Source organism: Homo sapiens, chromosome 8 (genome assembly GCF_000001405.40).
Source record: "Homo sapiens chromosome 8, GRCh38.p14 Primary Assembly".
Taxonomy (NCBI): Eukaryota; Metazoa; Chordata; class Mammalia; order Primates; family Hominidae; genus Homo; species Homo sapiens.
This window is the reverse complement of record NC_000008.11, coordinates 54,024,596-54,038,829: the sequence shown is the minus strand read 5'-3', so window position 1 is coordinate 54,038,829 and position 14,234 is coordinate 54,024,596. Positions and strand designations below refer to the sequence as shown.

The window sequence follows — 14,234 nt, the reverse complement described above, 5'->3', positions numbered from 1 at the left end:
TACAAAAAAAATCCAATTAGAAAATAGGCAAAAGACATGAAGAGATATTTTGCTGAGGAAGCTATAAGAATGGCAAGCACATGAAAAGATGACCAACATCACTAAGCCATTAAGGAAATGAAACGTAAAACCACAGGCAGGACATCGTGGCCCACCATGCCTGTAATCCCACCACTCAGAACTTTGGGAGGCTGAGAGGGGGGTGGATTGTTTGAATCTAGGAGTTTGAGCCCAGCCAGGGCAACATGGTGAAACCCCGCCTCTACAAAAAAAACTACAAAAATTACCCAGCCGTGGTGTCGCATGCCTGTGTTCCCAGCTACTGTGAAGGCTGAGCTGGGAGAATCGCTTGAGCCCGGGAGGCGGAGATTACTTACAGTGAGTTATGATCGCTGCCACTGCACTCCAGCCTGGATGACAAAGTGAGATCCTGTCTCAAAAAAAAAAAGTAAAATCACAATAAAATATCACTATATATATATTAGAGAATATCTAAAATAAAAACAGTGACAATGCCAAATGCTGATGAGGATGCAGAGAAATGGAATCTTTCATACCTTGCTGGTGGGAATGTAAAATGGTACGGCCACTTTGAAAAAGTTTGGCAATTTATTTAAAACCTGACATATGCTGATATAACTTCATAATTGCATTCTTGGGCATTTATTCCAGGGAAACAAAAACATATCTACACAAAAACCTGTACAGGATTATTTGTAACAATTACAAATAATTACAAACACAGCCAAAAACTAGAAACAAGCAAAAAGTCCTATGGCTGAAGAATGGTTAAACAAACTGGTGCATCAATACTATGGAATAGTATTTAGGAATAAACAAGAACGATGTACATAATGACTTAGATGAATCTCAAGGGCATTATTCTGTTTTTTTCCTTCTTTTTTCTTTCTTTTATTTAAGAGATGGGGTCTCACTCTGGCATCCAGGCCAGAGCGAGCACAGTGGCATGATCATGGCCCAGTGCAGCCTCGAACTCCTGGGCTCAAGTGATCCTCCCACCTCAGCCTCCAGAGTAGCTGGGACTACAGGCACCTGCCACATGCCTGGCTAATTTTTAAATTGTTTTTTATAGAGGTGGGGTCTGGCTTTGTTGCCCAGTCTGATCTCAAGCCCCTGGCTTCAGGCAATACTCCCACGTTGGCCTTCCAAAGTGCTGGGATTACGGGCGTGAGCCACCACATCCCACCCGAAGGGCCTTATTCTGAGTGAAAAAAGCCAGTCTCCAAATGTCATGCACTGTATATAACTTTTTCAAAATAACTAAATTACAGAGATGGAAAATGGATTAGTTGCCAGGGGCTAGAGATGGTGTGGGAGAGGGTAGTAGATGTGACTACAAGGGAATAGCATGACAATGATCTTTGTGGTGACAGAATAGTTCTATATTTGATTGCAGTGGCAGTTATATGAATCTACACATGATAAAATGATAGTGGACTATACATATTTTTAAACGATGTCAATGTCATGGTTGTGATATTGTACTATATGTATGATGTAACCATTGGAGGAAACTGGATGGAAGGGGACACAGGACCTCTATGCTTATCTTGACAATTCCCTGTGAATCTATAAAATATTTCAAGATAAAAAGTTTTTTAAAATGTACAATGGGAGGGCTGATAGAAGTTGAAATATTCTGTGGTTCTTCCATTTTGTGTGAGTAGATAAGAAATAGTTATTCCTTTTAAAGCTAAGTGTTCACAGTGTAAGGCTAACTAAAAAAACGAGAATAAATAGATGTAAATTCCAAAGTAGTGGGGATGGGGATGTTTTTATTTATTTATTTATTTTGAGATGGAGTCTAGCTCTGTCACCCAGACTGGAGTGCAGTGGTGCGATCTCGGCTCACTGCAACCTCCACCTCCCAGGTTCAAGCGATTCTCCTGCCTCAGCCTCCTGAGTAGCTGGGATTACAGGCGCCTGCCACCACTCCCAACTAATTTTTGTATTTTTAGTAGAGACAGGGTTTCACTGTGTTGGCCAGGCTGGTCTCAAACTCCTGACCTCGTGATCTGCCTGCCTCAGCCTCCCAAAGAGCTGTGATTATAAGCGTGAGCCACTGCGCCCAGCTGAGGGGATGAAATTTTTAAGGTTCCATTAAAAAAAAAAAAGATGAGAAAGGAGAAATAAAGCATATAAAACATAGAATAAGACATTTCATACTATGATACATACAAATCCAAAAATAACAGTTATTTCCACTGTGATGGACTAAATTTGTCAGTAAATGACAGAAGCTAGGCTGAACAAAAGAATGATCTAAAGCTACACACACACACACGCACACATTTTGGTTTTTGAGACAGGGTCTCGCTCTGTTACCCAGCCTAGAGTGTAGTGATGTGATCACAGCTCACTGCAGCCTTGAACTGGGCTGAGGCAATCCTCCTGCCTCTGCCTCCCAAGTAACCAGGACTACAGGTGTGCACCACCATGCCCAGCTAATTTTTAAGATTTATTTTTATTGTTTCATAGAAAGGGTTTTAGTATGTCACCCAGGCTGGTCTCTAACTCTTGGCCTCAAGACATCCTCCCACCTCAGCCACCCAAGTGCTGAGATTACAGGTGTGAGCCACCACACCTGGCCGAAAGCTGTATTTTCATTACAAGCAATATCAAACACATAGGGCACAGAAAGTTTGAAAGGGATGGGAAATTATAAACAAATACTACCCAAAGTAAGCTGGCTTGGCTATATTTGTATGAGGTGAAATAGACTTTAAGGCAACAAATATACGTCCACACAAAAACTTGTACACGAATATTCATAGAAGCATTATTCATAGGAGCCACAATGCAGAAATCACCCTGATGTTCATAACCAACAAGTGGATAAATAAGACGTGGCATAGCCATAAAATAGTATTCAGTAATAAAAAAGAATGCTGGCCAAGTGCGGTCACTCACACCTGTAATCCCAGCTCTTTGGGAGGCAGAGGCAGGTGGATCACCTGAGGTCAGAGTTCGAGACCAGCCTGGCCAACATGTGAAACCCTGTCTCTACTAATAATACCAAAATTAGCCAGGTGTGGTGGTGCACGCCTGTAATCCCAGCTACTCGGAGACTGAGGCAGGAGAATTGCTTGAACCTGGGAGGTGGAGGTTGCAGTGAGCTGAGATCACACCATTGTACTCCAGCCTAGGCGAGAAGAGTGAAACTCCAGTCTCCAAAAAAAATAAAATTAAATTTAAAAAGCTACCACATGGATGAACCTAATTTTATCTAAATAAAGCTGTTAAAAAAAAAACTTTAATGCCTGGTAGGAAGGCTTTGTGTCATTTTTACTTATGCTTAATTATCCCTCCCAGTCATGGTGATGCTGTTGAAGATAACAGTTCACATTCCCGTGGGTTCCAGATATCGGAGGAACCAAAGTCAATCTTGTTTTCAAAGAATCGTGGTTGTCTCTCAGGTGGCTTTTTGAAGGACTAATACAAAGACTGCCTTTATTTGCTCTAACTCAGAACTCTCTCAGGGTGAAGAAATAGCTCAGAACTCTCTGAGGGTGGAGAGTTGACCAACACAGAGGGTGTTGGTCAAAAATATTTAAAGTCAAATGAACCACTGACTACCACTTAGGGCAAATGATATAAGTTGGAGCAAACAATAGACACACCAAAAAGCCTGGGAGGAAAGGCTGAGGAGTGAGATGCTTTGGAGAAATAAAGGTTTTCAAGTGCTTTCACGTATTTCTGGATATCCAGACCATGTGTATGAACAGGGCAGGGTGCAGGTTCAGAAAAGTGGCTGAGTGGCTGGTTGTGGTGGCTCACACCTGTAATCCCAGTATTTTAGGAGGCCGAGGTGGGCGGATCACTTGAGGTCAGGAGTTCAAGACCAGCCTGGCCAACATGGCGAAACCCCATCTCTACTAAAAAATACAAAAGTTAGCCAGGCATGGTGGCCCCAGCCTGTAATCCCAACTACTTGGGAGGCTGAGGCAGGAGAATTGCTTGAACCCAGGAGGCAGCGGTTGCAGTGAGCCAAGATTCCACCACTGCAGATTCCAGTCTGGGCGACAGAGAGACTCCCTCTCAAAAAAAAAAAAAAAAAAAAAAAAAAAAGATTTGAGAAATTCCTAAGCTCTCACCTCTGGCTGACCTTGAAGTCCTGGGCCAGCAGGTCATGAAGGTTAAGGCAGAGTTGGAAAGTGACCAGCTGAATATTACAAGTGTGCCCAACACAAAGAGCTCTACTGCAAAGTCTGGGAGATTTTTTTTCTTGCTCCAGGTGTTTAAAAAAATGAAGTATCTGTCAAAACATTAGGTAGACACTGAGCTAACAAAACAGATACTTTAGTGACTACACATGACAGAGTTTAGATATGTCATTAAACATATAAACTAAAAAACTCACATAACTCTAACAATAAGCGGCAACAATTCTGATTTTAAAAGTTACATTATAATCTTCAAAATGTTCAATTTTCAGCAAAAATTATGAGGCATACAAAGAAACAAAGCCTGGCCCATTCATAGGGAGAAAAAAAGAAATGAACAGAAACACTGTCCTTGAGGAAGCTCAGATATTGGACTTACTGAGCAAAGACCTTATTAAGCTGTCTTAAATATACCTCAAAAAGCTAAAGGAAACCATGGAGAAAAAAATTAAAGCAGGAGGACAATATCTCAACAACTAGAGAACATCAATCAATAAATAAAAATTATAAAAAGGAACCAAATACATATCTAGAACTGAAGATAACAATAATTAAAATTAAAAATTCACTAGAATTGCGCAGCAGGTTTGAGCAGGCAGAAGAATCAGCAGACTTCAAGATAGTACAATTGAAATTATCCAGTCTGAGGAATAGAAAGGAAAAAGAAAATAAAAATGAACATAGCCTAAGAAACCTGTGGGTTTCTTAGAGTAGCAACATACACATAATGGAATTCCAGAAGGAGAGAAAAAAGAGGAACAAAAGGAATATTTGAAGAAATAATGGCCAAACCCCAAATTTAGCTGGGTGCAATAGCTCGTGTCTATAACGCTAGCAATGAAAGGCTGAGGCAGGAGGATCACTTGAGGCCAAGAGTTTGAGACCAGCCTGGGCAGTATATTGAGACCCCATCTGATATAGTTTGGATGTTTTCCTCTCCAAATCTTATGTTGAAATGTGATCCCCAATGTTGGTTGTAGGGTCTCATGGGAGGTGTTTGAGTCATGGGGGCAGATCCCTCATGAATAATGGCTTCGTTCCCTCCTCACAGTAATGAGTGAATTCTGGCTTTATTAGTTCATGCAAGAGCTAGTTGTTTAAAGAGCCTGGCACTTCCTCCCTGCCCTGCTTGTTCCCTCTCTCACCATGTGACATGCCAACTCTCCTTCTCCCTTCTGCCATAAATAAAAGTTTCCTGAGGCCCTCATGATGCTTGCACCGTGCTTTTTTTTTTTTTTTTTTTTTTTTTTTTGCATTTTTTTCTTGAGACAGGCTCTTGCTCTATTGCTCAGGCTGGAGTGCAGTGACATGATCTCAGCTCACTGCAACCTCTGCCTCCCAGACTCAAGCCATCTTCCCATCTCAGCCTTCCAAGTAGCTGGGACTACAGGTGCTCACCACAATGCCTGGCTAATTTTGTGTTTTCTGTAGAGATGGGGTTTCCCCATGTTGTTTGGGCTGGTCTTGAACTCCTGAGCTCAAGCTATCTGCCTGCTTCAGCCTCCCAAAGTGCTGGGATTACAGGTGTGAGCCACCATGCCTACCCACCGTGCTGCTTGTATAGTCTGCAGAACCATGAGCCAAATAACTTTTTTTTTTTTTTTTTTTGAGACGTAGTCTTGCTCCGTTGCCAGACTGGAGTGCAGTAGTGTGATCTCAGCTCACTGCAACCTCCGACTCCCTGGTTCAAGTGATTCTCCTGCCTCAGCCTCCCGAGTAGCTGGAATTACAGGCACCTGCCATCATGCCCAGCTAATTTTGGTATTTTTGTGGAGATGGGGTTTCGCCACGTTGGCCAGGCTGGCCTTCAGCTCCTGACCTTAGGTGATCCTCCTACCTCAGCCTCCCAAAGTGCTGGGATTACAGGCGTGAGCCACCATGCCCGGCCGAGACCCAGACTTTTGAAAAAAAATCCCTGACTTTGATGAACGACATAAATCTACACATCAAAGAAGCTCAATGAACTCCAAGTAGAATAAACTTGAATATATTCACACTGTGGGGAAAAGCGAGAGAGATCAGATTGTTACTGTGTCTGTGTAGAAAGAAGTAGACATAGGAGACTCCATTTTGTTATGTACTAAGAAAAATTCTTCTGCCTTGAGATTCTGTTAATCTATAACCTTACCCCCAACCCCGTGCTCTCTGAAACATGTGCTGTGTCAACTCAGAGTTGAATGGATTAAGGGCGGTGCAGGATGTGCTTTGTTAAACAGATGCTTGAAGGCAGCATGCTCCTTAAGAGTCATCACCACTCCCTAATCTCAAGTACCCAGGGACACAAAAACTGCGGAAGGCCGCAGGGACCTCTGCCTAGGAAAGCCAGGTATTGTCCAAGGTTTCTCCCCATGTGATAGTCTGAAATATGGCCTCGTGGGAAGGGAAAGACCTGACCGTCCCCCAGCCCGACACCCGTAAAGGGTCTGTGCTGAGGAGGATTAGTAAAAGAGGAAGGAATGCCTCTTGCAGTTGAGACAAGAGGAAGGCATCTGTCTCCTGCCTGTCCCTGGGCAATGGAATGTCTCGGTATAAAACCCGATTGTATGCTCCATCTACTGAGATAGGGAAAAACCGCCTTAGGGCTGGAGGTGGGACCTGCGGGCAGCAATACTGCTTTGTAAAGCATTGAGATGTTTATGTGTATGCATATCTAAAAGCACAGCACTTAATCCTTTACATTGTCTATGATGCAAAGACCTTTGTTCACGTGTTTGTCTGCTGACCCTCTCCCCACAATTGTCTTGTGACCCTGACACATCCCCCTCTTTGAGAAACACCCACAGATGATCAATAAATACTAAGGGAACTCAGAGGCTGGCGGGATCCTCCATATGCTGAACGCTGGTTCCCCGGGTCCCCTTATTTCTTTCTCTATACTTTGTCTCTGTGTCTTTTTCTTTTCCAAATCTCTCGTCCCACCTTACGAGAAACACCCACAGGTGTGTAGGGGCAACCCACCCCTACACACACCAATCCAATTATAATCTAACTGTAGAAAGACAAAAAGATTACTGATAGCAGCAAGAGCAAAACAACTCATCACATCCAAGTGTTTCAATGAGATTAACAGCCAATTTTGCAGCAGAAACCACAGAAGCTAGGAAGTAGTGGGATGATACTATTTAAAATGCTGAAAGAAAAAATACATGTCAATGAACAATTCTGTATCCAAGAAAACTATCCTTTACTTGAGCCCGAAGTCTGAGACCAGCCTGGGCAACATGACAAAAATACAAAAATTAGCATGGTGGCATGCACCTGTAGTCACAGCTACTCCAAGGAAGGAGGGTGGCTCAAGACTTGGATTTTGAGGCTATAGTGCACAATCACACCTGTGAATAACCACTGCACTCCAGCCTGGGCAATGCAGCAAGACTTCTTTTTCGATGACTTTGGCTGGATACCACAGGTGGTTTGAGACCTGGATTTTGAGGCTATAGTGCACAACCACACCTGGGAATAACCACTGCACTCCAGCCTGGGCAACGAGCAAGACTCCTTTCTTGATGACCTTGGCTGGATACCCGTGGGTGCCCTTAGACAAGTGACCAAAACTGAGAGGGCTCCAATGGATGTGGAGTAGGAGGCAGCAGGCCTGGGGCAGCCAGAAGTGGGGAGAAGCCTCTGCTGCAGCCAGTTGGTGGGGGTTCATGGCCCCCACAGCATGTGGCAGACCCATATGCTCCCTCCTGTGAACCCAGAGCCTTAAGAATCTAGTTTAAATAGGCCGGGTGCAGTGGCTCATGTCTGTAATTCTAGCACTTTGAGAGGCCAGGGCAGGTGGATCACTAGGGGTCAGAAGTTTGAGACCAACCTGGCCAACATGGCGAAACCCCACCTCTACTAAAAGTACAAAAATTAGCCGAGCATGGTGGTGGGCGCCTGTAATCCCAGCTACTCGGGAGGCTATGGCAGGAGAATCGCTTGAACCCGGAAGGCAGAGGTTGCAGTGAGCTGAGACTGCGCCATTGCACTCCAGCCTGGGTGACAGGAGCAAAACTCCATCTCAAAAAAAAAAAAAAAAAAAAAGAAAGGAAATAAAAAAGAATCTAGTTTAAATAATCCCAACTTAGCTTCAGCAGTATACAAATGCTGTGTTCCTATTCAATTTCATCCTTCCATCTTCATGTAGTTGTTGTTACAAAGGAAATCTTTACACAATGTATGCCCATTAACATGGATTTATAACTTATGCTTCTATGCACTTGTGTTTTAAATGGCAAATTCAGCTCCTAATAGGATTAAAGTATGCAACTGAAAGAGATTGGTAAAATAAAAATTTAAAAAAGAGATACAACTATATGTCTTGAAGAGACTCATTTTAGATCCAAGACAAATATATTGAATGTAAAAGGATGGAAAAAGGTGTTCCATGAAAACAGTAACTAAAAGAGAGCTGAGGTGGATATACTAGTATAAAAATAGAGTGCAAGTAGGCTGGGCACGGCGGCTCACGCCTGTAATCCCAGCACTTTGGGAGGCTGAGGTGGGCGGATCACAAGGTCAGGAGATTGTGACCATCCCGGCTAACATGGTGAAACCCCGTCTCAACTAAAAATACAAAAAAAATTAGCCAGGTGTGGTGGCGGGCACCTGTAGTCCCAGCTACTGGGGAGGCTGAGGCAGGAGAATGGCGTGAACCCGGGAGGCGGAGCTTGCAGTGAGCCGAGATCGCACCACTGCACTCCAGCCCGGGCGACAGAGCGAGACTCTGTCTCAAATAATAAAAAAAAAAGTGCAAGTCAAAATTTGCTACAATTTGCTACAAAAGAACATTATATATGGATAAAAGGGTTAAACCATCAAGAAGATATAACAATCATAAACATGTCCATACTTTACAACAGAGCCCCCACATATATGAAGCAAGAACTGACATAGTTTAAGGGTGAAATAGGTGGTTCTATAATAATAATTAGAAACTTAAAAATACACCCCTTTGGCCAGGCGTGGTGGCTCATGCCTGTAATCCCAGCACTTTGGGAGGCCGAAGCAGGTAGATCACCTGAGGTTGGGAGTTCGAGACCAGCCTGACCAACATGGAGAAACCCTGTCTCTACTAAAAATACAAAATTAGCCGGGTGTGTTGGCCTGTAATCCCAGCTGCTTGGGAAGCTGAGGCAGGAGAATCGCTTGAACCCGGGAGGCGGAGGTTGCAGTGAGCCAAGATCACGCCATTGCACTCCAGCCTGGGCAACAAGAGCAAAACTCCATCTCAAAAAAAAAAAACAACAACAAAAAAACAACCCCACGACTTTTATTAATGGATAGAACAGTTAGAGGATCAGTAGGAAATACAGAACTTAAACAACATTATAAACCAACTAGACATAATACATACAGTACACTCCACCCATAAGAATGCATATTTTTCCAAAGTGCACATGGAACATTCTCCAGAATTGGTCATTTGTTAGACAAATTAAATGTCTCAATTTTTTTATTTTCAATTTTTTGGCAGAGTCTTGCTCTGTCACCCAGGCTGGAGTGCAGTGGTGGGTTCTCAACTCAGTGCAAACTCCACCCCCTGGGTTAGATGATCCTCATGTCTTAGCCTCCCAACTAGCTGGGACTACAGGCGCGCCACCATGCGTGGCTAATTTTTGTATTAGTAGAGACAGGGTTTTGCTATGTTGGTTGGCCAGGCTGGTCTCAAACTCCTGACCTCAAGTGATCTGCTCGCCTCAGCCTCCCAAACTGTTGGGATTACAGGCATGAGCCACTGCACCTGGCCTCAATAAATTTTTGTTTTTATTCATTATTTATTTATTTATTTATTTATTTTTTCTTGAGACAGAGTCTCACTCTTGTTGCCCAGGCTGGAGAGCAATGGCGCGATCTTGGCTCACTGCAACCTCCGCCTCCCGGGTTCAAGCGATTCTACTGCCTCAGCCTCCTGAGTAGCTGGGATTACAGGCGCCCACCACCACGACTGGCTAATTTTTAGTATTTTTAGTAGAGACAGAGTTTCACCATGTTGTCCAGGCTGGTCTCGAACTCCTGATCTCAAGTGATCCACCCGTCTTGGCCTCCCAAAGTGCTGGGATTACAGGCATGAGCCACAGCGCCCGGCCTTGTTTTTATTTCTTTATTTATTTTGAGACAGGGATCTCGCTCTGTCGTCCAGGCTGGAGTGTAGTGGCACAATCATAGCTCACTGCAACCTCTGTCTCCCAGACTCAAGTGATCCTCCCACCTCAGCCTCCCCAGTAGCTGGGAGTACAGGTACATGCCACCATGCTTGGCTATTTTTTTTTTTTTTTTAATTTTTAGTAGAGGTGAGATCTCACTATGTTGCCTCCCTATGGTGTTTGATCTTGAACTCCTGAGCTCAAGCAATCCTCCCACCTCAGCCTTCCAAAATGCTGGGATCACAGGTGTGAGCCACCATGCCCGGCCAAAGAATTTTTAAAAATCATAATCATACAAAGTATTTCTTTAACTATAATGTGATGAAGCTAGATATAAATAACAGAAGGAAAAAGTAATTTCACAATTATGTTCAAATAATACATTCACACAACTTCAAAAAGAAATCAGAAAATAGAACAATATTTTGAGACAAATGAAAACAAAGCTACGATATACCAAAATTTATGAAATGCAGTGAAAACAGTGCTCAGAGGGAAATTTATAGCTCAAAAAGAATAATCTCCGCCAGGTGCAGTGGCTCATGGCTGTAATCCCAGCACTTTGAGAGGCTGAGGCGGGTGGATCACCTGAGGTCGGGAGTTCGAGACCAGCCTGACCAACATGGAGAAACCCCGTCTCTACTAAAAATACAAAATTAGCTGGACGTGGTGGCACGTGCCTATAATCCCAGCTACTTGGGAGGCTGAGGCAGGAGAATTGCTTGAACCCGGGAGGTGGAGGTTGCAGTGAGCAGAGATCACGCCATTGCACTCCAGCCTGGGCAACAAGAGTGAAACTCCGTCTCAAAAAAAAAAAAAGAAGAAAAATCTGACATTAATTACCTAACTTTATGGCTTAAGGAATTGGAAAAAGAGAAGAAAAGTAAACTGCAAAATGTCAGAAGGAAATAATAAAGATTAATTAGAGACAAAAGAAAAGATTAGGGCAGGGAACCATGGCTCATCCCTGTAATCCCAGCACTTTGGGAGGCCAAGGTGGGAGGATCTCTTGAGCCCAAGACATTGAGGCTGTAGTGAGGTATGATTGTGCCACTGCACTCCACCTGAGTGACAGAGCAAAACCCTGTCTCAATAAAATAAAAATTAATAAAATATAATATAAATAAATAACAAAATAAAATACCAAGAATAATTTTAGCCAATGAGGTGAATTTAGCCAAGAGTTGCACACTGAAAATTATGTTATATTGCTTAAAGAAATTAAAATAGATCTAAATAAATGGAAAGATATCCCGTTGTAATGAATTGATAGACTTAATGTTGTTAAAATGGCAATGGTCAATCTTCATGACCTTGGATTTGCAACTCTTTCTGAGATTTGACACCAAAAGCACAAGTAACAAAAGCAATATATGAATTGGACTTTGGTAAAATATAAAGTTTGTGCATGAAAGGTCAATATCAAGAGACTGAAAAGAGGCTGGGCGAGGTGGCCTACATCTGGAATCCCAGCACTTTGGAAGGCCGAGGCGAGAGGATTGCTTGAGTTCAGGAGTTTGAGACCAGCCGGGGCAACATAGTAAGACCCTCTCTCTACAAATAATCCAGAAGTAGCTGGGCATGGTGGTGTGTGCCTGTAGTCCCAGCTACTCAGGAGGCAGAGGCAAGAGATTTGCTTGAACCCAAAAAGTGGAGGCTGCAATGAGCTGTGATCACGCCACAGGACTCAGCTTGGGCGACTGTGAGACCCTGTCTCAAAAAAAAAAAAAAAAAAAGACTGAAAAGATAACCCACAAAATGGGAAGGGAGACAATGATTGAAAAGCATATTTATCTCAAGGCTCTAGAGTCCAGAATTATATAAGAACGTTTACAACTTAACAACATAAACACAACTCAGTTAAAAATTGGGCAAAAGACTAGAATAGACATTTCTCTAAAGAAACCATAGAAGGCCGGGGGAGGTGGCTCATACTTGTAATCCCAGCACTTTGAGAGGCCGACGTGGGTGGATCACCTGAGGTCAGGAGTTCCAGACCAGCCTGGCCAACATGGTGAAGCCCCATCTCTGCTAAAAGTGCGAAAATTAGCCGGGGGTGTTGGTGCTCCCCAGGAATCCCAGCTACTTAGGAGGCTGAGGTGGGAGAATTGCTTGAATCCGGGAGGTGGAGGCTACAGTGAGCTGAGATTGTGCCACTGTAATCCAGCCTGGACTGTTGTCACTCTGTTAGTGAGACCCCATCTCAAAAAAAAAAAAAAAAGAAACCACAGAAATGGCCAACAAGCACATGAAAACATGCTTAACATATTAGGAAAATGCCAATCAAAGACACAATGAGATACCATTTCATACCTCATCAGATAATTAGAATTCTAAAAATGAACTAAACAGGCTGGGCACAGTGTGTCACTCCTGTAATCTCAGCACTTTGGGAGGCCAAGGTGGGCAGATCACCTGAGGTCAGGAGTTCAAGACCAGTCTGGCCAACATGGTGAAACCCAGTCTCTACTAAAAATACAAACCATTCGCTAGGCATGGTGGCAGGCACCTGTAATCCCAGCTACTCCGGAGGCTGAGGCAGGAGAATCACTTGAATCTGGGAGGTCGAGGTTCCAGTGAGCTGAGGTCACGCTATTGCACTCCAGCCTGGGCAATAAGAGCGAAACACTGTATCAAAAAAGAAATAATAAAAATAAAAATAAAGGACAACAACAATTGTTGACAAAGATACAGAGAAGTTCGAGCCCAATGACGTTTCCGATGGGTATGTAAAAATGTTGCAGTTGCTGTGGAAAACAGATGGACAGTTCCTCGAATTTAAATGTAGAATTACCATGAAACCCAACAATTCTACTCCTAGGTTCACACCCAAAAGAACTGAAAACAGGTGTTCCCACAAAACTTTGTACAGGCATGTTCATAGCTGCACTATTCACAAGAGTGAAAATGTGGAGTAGTGAAAGGTGGGTGGAAACAATGCTTATGTCCATCATGTGATGAATGAATTTTAAAAATGTTATCTATAGGAAATGCATATTATTCAGCCATAAAAAGGAATGAAGTACTGACACGGCTACAACACAGGTGAACCTTGAAAACATGCTAAGTGAAAGAAGCCAGTCAGAAAAGGTCACATATTCTAGGATTCTATTTATTAAATATATAAAATGTTCAGAATATTCAAGAGTATAGAGGCAGCCAATTAGTGGTTGCCAAGGGTTGAGGGGAGAAAGGAATCAGGAGTGACTGCTTAATTGATACTGGGTTTCTTTTTGAGGTGATGAACATTTTTGGAAAACTTTTGGGAACTATCGAGTGGTGATGGTGGCACTATATTGTTATCATTAGAAATGCCACTGAATTGTACACTTTTTTATTTTATATTTACTTATTTATTTATGTTTGAGACGGAACCTTGCTCTGTCACCCAGGCTGGAGTGCAGTGGCGCCATCTCAGCTCACTGCAACCTCTACCTCCTGGGTTTAAGCGATTCTCCTGCCTCAGCCTCCCGAGTAGCTGGGATCACAGGCGGCCACCACCAGGACCAGCTAATTTTTGTATTTTTAGTAGAGACGGGGTTTCACTATGTTGGCCAGGCTGTTCTCGAACTCCTGACTTCAGGTGATCCGCCCACCTTGGCCTCCCAAAGTGTTGGGATTACAGGTGTGAGCCACTGCGCCCAGCCAGAGATCTTTATGTTTAAACATAGGTATCTACAGCTATACATTTCCATCTGAGTGTTGCCTTTGCTGTATCCCATGCACACTGGGTATGCACACACCAGGCCTTTACACTTTAAAATAGCTAAAACAGGCCAGGTGAGGTGGCTCACACCTGCAATCCCAGCACTTTGGGAGGCCGAGGTGGGCAGATCACCTGAAGTCAGGAGTTTGAGAACACCCTGCCTAACATAGTAAAATCCCATCTCTACTAAAAATACAAAAATTACCAGGGCGT

General features: G+C 43.3%; 1 protein-coding gene and 1 long non-coding RNA gene across 8 annotated transcripts in view, besides 2 other annotated features; one reads left to right on the top strand and one right to left on the bottom strand.

Moving 5' to 3' along the window:
• LYPLA1-TCEA1 (LYPLA1-TCEA1 readthrough) overlaps positions 1-14,234 on the top strand; it is a 135,392-nt gene that overhangs the window by 63,118 nt on the left and 58,040 nt on the right. The window lies entirely within an intron of this gene.
• LOC133039971 (Uncharacterized) overlaps positions 1-14,234 on the bottom strand; it is a 28,744-nt gene that overhangs the window by 11,947 nt on the left and 2,563 nt on the right. For 3 of the 4 annotated variants that reach the window (NR_189618.1, NR_189619.1, NR_189620.1), the window contains exon 2: positions 378-430. This is a non-coding gene — a long non-coding RNA (Uncharacterized LOC133039971). Of the gene's footprint in view, positions 1-377; positions 431-12,798; positions 12,944-14,234 lie in introns of all 4 variants that reach the window. The other variant, NR_189617.1, reaches the window with a different exon arrangement.
• Positions 7,114-7,845: an enhancer, noted in NCBI's record as "H3K27ac-H3K4me1 hESC enhancer chr8:54943545-54944276 (GRCh37/hg19 assembly coordinates)". NCBI's record gives its function as "activates a minimal SCP1, AML or CMV promoter by ChIP-STARR-seq in naive H9 embryonic stem cells {active_cell/tissue: H9 hESC(naive)}" and the evidence as "EXISTENCE:reporter gene assay evidence [ECO:0000049][PMID:30033119]".
• Positions 7,846-8,576: an enhancer, noted in NCBI's record as "H3K27ac-H3K4me1 hESC enhancer chr8:54942814-54943544 (GRCh37/hg19 assembly coordinates)". NCBI's record gives its function as "activates a minimal SCP1, AML or CMV promoter by ChIP-STARR-seq in naive H9 embryonic stem cells {active_cell/tissue: H9 hESC(naive)}" and the evidence as "EXISTENCE:reporter gene assay evidence [ECO:0000049][PMID:30033119]".